This window comes from Homo sapiens, chromosome 3 (genome assembly GCF_000001405.40).
Source record: "Homo sapiens chromosome 3, GRCh38.p14 Primary Assembly".
NCBI classification, from domain to species: Eukaryota; Metazoa; Chordata; class Mammalia; order Primates; family Hominidae; genus Homo; species Homo sapiens.
Window position 1 is genome coordinate 82,754,293 of NC_000003.12, and position 5,889 is coordinate 82,760,181.

At 35.8% G+C, this 5,889-nt stretch overlaps 1 annotated feature.

Annotated features, from left to right (window-relative positions):
- Window positions 2,573–2,773: a silencer, noted in NCBI's record as "peak4728 fragment used in MPRA reporter construct". NCBI's record gives its function as "represses an SCP1 promoter by STARR-seq MPRAs in K562 erythroleukemia cells {active_cell/tissue: K562}" and the evidence as "EXISTENCE:reporter gene assay evidence [ECO:0000049][PMID:32103011]".

The window sequence follows — 5,889 nt, forward strand, 5'->3', positions numbered from 1 at the left end:
GTTTCGTATTTGTCCAACATGTACTTTGTTTCCTTTTTCTCTTTTCTTGTACTTTCTTTTCCATTTGTATTTTTATGGTTTCATTTTTAATTCTTAGTCCTTTATTAGCTGTTAGGTATAATTCTATATTTTAATAATTGCCTTAGCGTTTCTAAAAGTGATTTTTGATCAGCGGTAATTTTGTACCACCACAGGATATTTGGCTATGTCTGGAGACATGGTTGTCACATACGATAGGACATGCTAATAGTGTTAAGTTGGTAGAATTCAGGGATGCTGCCAAATGTCACGCAATACATAAGCCAGCTCCTCATGGTGAAGAATCATTCAGTCAGTAATGCTAAGGTTGAGAAACTCTAGTTTAGTATGTGTCTTTAATTTATCATAGTTTTCCTGAAAGTATTATCATACAACTTTAAGAATACTTAAATAGTATAATTCCATTTCTCCACTCTGTGTCTCTATGCTGTTGTTTTCATATATTTTAGTCCTATGTGCGTTATTAACTCTAACTACACTTTTATTATTTTTCTTTAATGGGTTATATTTTAAAGAGATTTAAATAATAACAAAAGATTATATATTTTTCAATACAGTTGCCATTTATGGTGCTCTTCATTGCTCGTTTATGTCTACATATCTATCCAATATACTATACGTTTCACACTGAAGGACTTCTTTAGCATTTCTTGTAGTGTGGTTTTGTTATTAATACTTTTTTTTAGATTTCTATCCCTTATAAAGTCCTCACTTACCCTTCACTTTGAAAGATGGTTTCTCTGGATTGGCAATCCTAGATTCATAGTTATTTTTGTTTTCTTTCTGGACCTTAAATACACTTCCCTGCTTTGTTGCCATTGTTTCTGATGAAATATATCTGCTGTATATATACGCATATATATATCATATATACACACATACGTCTACCTTTATTATAAAATTTATTAACACTAGAAGATGTGTGGCACAAAGTTTACAAATAATAATAAAATATATGATATTCTGTTTTTTTTAAAAAAAGAAATATATCTGCTGTAATTCTTACCTTTGTTTCTTTTTGTGTTCTGAGTCTTTTTTCTCAGAATACTTTTAAGATTTTCCCTTCCTGGCTGCTTTTAAGCAATTTGGTTATGTGATAGTTTGATGCCGTTTTCTGCAGATTTTTTGTGCTTTGAAGTTGTTTAGCTTCTTAAAACTTGGTTTATTGTTTTTAATCAAATCTAGACATATTCAGTCACTTTTTCTTCTGCTCTCATTTCTTTGAAGGCTCGAATTGCATGTGTCTAAGCCATTTGATGCCATCCCACAGCTTATTTAGGTTCATTCTATTGCTATTTCTTTAAGTTCATTTAAGAAAATATTTTCTTCTGTAATGTCCTATTTGGTGTTAATGCTGTCCATAGATTGCCACATTAGAAATTGTAGTTTTCATTTTTAAATGTTCAATTTGTTCTTTAATTTTTTTCATGTCTCGACTTGATTTTTGAACATATAGATACAGATTAAATAACTTTCTTTGTTCTTGATTGTGAATTCTAACATATCTGTCAGTTCTGGGTTAATTTTGAATGATTATTCTCTGAACTATGGGCTTATATTTTTATTTATTTTTTGCCTTTTTGTTAATATTTCACTGCATGGTAGCCATTTTAAATTTTACTTTTTGGGTAATGGATATTTTGCATTTTTACATGTATTATTGAGCTTTAATCTGGGATGTGGTTAAATTAATTGGACTTATTAATTATTTTGCTTCTTGCTTTTAATATTTGTTATGCAGGAACAGAGCAAAGCCTAGTCTAGGGTTTATTATTTCCTACTACTGAGGTAAGATCATTCTGAGTACTTTTCCAATGTCCTATGACATACTGCATACTTATGAAGCCTTCCTTTGCCAGTACTAGAAACTGTTCCCTTTAATCCTTGGAGATAGTTCCTTCCATGTTTTCAGATAGCTTCTTCATATGCAGTGTGTTGATCAACATTCTGCTGAATACTTTAGGGGAACATTCTGAAGATCTTTGGAGTTCTTTTCCTGTGTGGCTTTTTAGTATTTGGTACTATTAATATATCCTGCAACCGCATCTACCTTAGTTTGCTACACTTTTAACTCTCTCTCTTCATGTTATTGTAACCCCTGAACTCTGCGTAGGTTCCTTCTTCTGATGCCATTCCTGAATCTCTCCAAAGACAGAAATCAATATTAGGGCTCACTTCATTTTTTTTCTTATATCTAAGCATTCAATGTATTTTGTTGCTTGATGTCCAATGTCCTGAGAACCATTGTATTATATATTTTGTCCGTTTTTTAATTATTTGTTTGTTTTAGGCAGATATAGAAATCTGACCCCTTTTACCTCATCTTCACTGAAAGCAGAAGCCTCTTTAATAGTATTTTTAATGTTTTTGATTATTATAGCAAATAAGGAGGAAAAAAGGAGAAGAGAACATTTGCTAAAGCTATATATCTTCTTATAAATTGGTAGGTGGAGCATCAAGTTCCTAAGATAAAAAATATTTTGACTGCCATTAAAATTAAGAAAGACAAAAGACATCACTTGAACTAATTCGAAGAAAAGCCAACATTGTCGTAAGACTACATTTCTCAACTTTAAAGATAGTATGCTGTGTCAAAGGGTGAAATCCCAGACAGTGCAAAGCGCTGGCTTTAGCCGCCTAAGCTGCATGGTATCCTGAAGATTGTCTTGTCATGCTGGAAGGTCAGGTTCACAAGGCTCACTAGAGAGGTTTCTCCCCACATAGAGAGAAAAAAGGAGTAGCAGAAGTTTTCTGCTTACTGAGAAGATAACTTTGGTCTCAGTGTGAGAGCAGGGTGGTCACAGTTCTCCAGGCTGAACTTTCTGTAAGCCTATCTATAATGCTTATGCAGGGAGTAGAAAGGAGAGTTTGACTGTAACCTTTTCTCTTTTTTAGGACCTGATAGCATGTATCTAGCGATGACAAAAAAAAAAAAAAAAAAAAAAAAAAGAAAAGGGTAGGAGATACCAAAAAAACATCTAGCATTGTAGGTAATTTTCACATAAGGAAAATAAAACCATGACACAATTCTAAGCAGTCATGAAATGGGAGGGGAAAAGAAAAATGAAATAGAATGCAAGCACAACAGAGTTGTAAAAAAAAAAAAGCCATATTTTTAAGAGTTTATGATGTTGGAGCCAATTTCTCTGGGCCATTGCCTTTAAACCGTTAAAGGCTGTCTGTGACTTTTTTGGTCAATTTTATAGTTCAGACATTGTAACTATATTACCAAGTGATGTTAGTATACCAATCAATGTTTATACAATTCATGTTTTTGTTGAATGTCATTTATTGGCTTTCATTTAAAAGGCTTCTCAGGTATTGATCAATTTTTGAAAGAGGTTTTGATCATTAACTTTCCCTCTACTCTAAAGATTACATGTAAATATATAGATATGTCTATACACACATAATATATACACAGAGAGAAATCTAGTTGAACTATGTTAACAACTTTCACTTTTTCAAATTCCACTTAAGTATTTCGCTTAAAATTGGTGGCAAGTTTTATTGTTTAAAAACTTCTTACAATAACCTGGCTACCTTTCTTCGTTTTCCTAAATTTGTTTTATCTATTTTAACATTTGTTCAAATGTTAAAATTTAAATTATCTGCTGATAAAAATCACATGTATTTTCAGTGTTATCTGGTGACGTTTATGTTTTAGCCATCTTAGAACCATATGGAAATAGCTGTTTTGGGATTATGTTCTTAGGCTCTTTAATACAACTAACCAAGGCATCTTGAACTTATACTAGTCCTTCATTGTCTCCCTCTTATTGATTAGGATATACTTGTATCCTAGATGACTGATAATTATACTCACAGATTTTCCATTCGAAATATATTTACTTTCCCATATAAAGTAATTTTTTGATAACATGTTTCAACCAGTGACTTTTATCTAGTCACTGAAGTTATATATCAATACATCATTGAGACATGATCCACAATTTATATAATGTGATAGTTAATACTGAGTGACAACTGTATTGGATTGAAAGATGCAAAGATGAACTGTATTGTATTGAAAGATGCAAAGTACTGTTTTCGGGTGTGTCTTTGAGGGTATTGCCAAAGGAGATTAACATTTGAATCAGTGGACTGGGAGACAGGCCCACCCTTAATCTGGGTGGGCACAATCTAACTGGCTTCCAGCAGGGCCCAAACAAAGCAGGCAGAAGAACCTGGAAAGAGCAGACTTGCTGAGTCTTCCTGCCTTTATCTTTCTTCTTTGCTGGATGTTTCCTGCCCTTGAACATCAGACTCCAAGTTCTTCAGCTTTGGACTCTTGGACTTACACAAGTGATTTGACGGGGCTTTCAAGCCTTCAGCTTGACTAAAGGCTGCACTGTCAGCTTCTCTACTTTTAGAGTTTTGGGACTTGGACTGGCTTCCTTGCTTCTTAGCCTGCAGATGGCCTATTGAGGGACTTCACCTTGTGATCATGTGAGAAAATTTTTCTAATAAACTCCTCTTGATATATACACATATCCTGCTAGTTCTGTCCCTTTGAGAACCCTGACTAATATAGATTCTGGTACTGGGAATGGTTCTAGAGGAACAGAAGTTTAGAGTTCTTTAGTTGGTTTTGGGGTTTCTGGAGTTGGATGCTAAATATGATTAAACCCAAAAGTTCTAAGGACCCTACTTCTAATAGTATGGAGAACACTGATAGTCCTTGGTGTGAAATGTTTAAAGAACTATGCAAAACAAATGTATTTGATACTCCTGATTCACCTTTCATGAGAGGCAAGGAGTTTAGCGTCTCTATACATAATACCTTTGACCACATGCGGATAACCAAGGAATATAATGAAGTTGGTTGGTTGCTCCTAAGTTTGCTGGACAACGTGACTAAAGGAAAAGGTGAACTCAGGGATTCTGTCTGCTGGCTCCAGAAGCACATACTGAGCCTCAAGTCTCCTAAGATTGCCCTGAGTGAGAGTCTCACCTCCTGTAGCAAAGGGCTGAAATTATGGAAAGTCAGACACAAGCTCTTATCATGCGAGTGGCTGACCTGCAATGAAAGGTGCATGCTCAGTCTCACCAGGTGTCTACTGTTGAAGTGAGGACATAGAATGGAAAAGAATGGGACCCTGCAATTTGGAATGGGGAATGTTTAGGAGGGCCCTGATGAAGCTGGGGACACTGAGCTTGTAAACTCTGGTGAGCCTTTTTTCCCAGAAAAAACATTCTGCCCACCCACAGTGGGGGCAACATCCCCTCCCCCACCCACACTGCAATCAGCCTTTCCATCTTTGACTGAGGAGGTTAACCATGTGTTGCCTGAGGCAGCAGTGATGGCCTCCCCTGAGGCAGTTACCAGTCAAGGCAATGCTGCTTTTCCTCAAGACCCACCCTCTACACGCCTGTTTTCTTCTAGACCTATAACTAGACTCAAGTCCTGTCCGGATCCTAGAGGGGAGATTCATATTGTGGCCCACAAAGAGATACACTACACTCCAAAAGAATTGCCTGAGTTTTCTAATTTATATAAGCAGAAATCTGAAGAACAGGCATGGGAATGGATGTCAAGGGTGTGGGATAATAGTGGAAGGAACGTAACATTGGATCAGGCTGAATTTACTGATACAGTCTCACTAAGCAGGGGCTCTGCATTGAATGCTGCAGCTCAGGAAGTTAAAAAAGGTTCTAGTAGTTTATTTGCTTGGTTAGGTGAAATAAGGATCAAAAGATGGCCCACTGTGAGTGAGCTGAAAATGTCCTATCTCCCTGGGTTTAATGTAAAGGAAGGGATGCAAAGGGAGATTTGAATGCCAGTGTGGATTAGTCACTTTAGACCTACTCATCCCGCCTGGGAGAATCCAAAGACATACCCTTCACCAA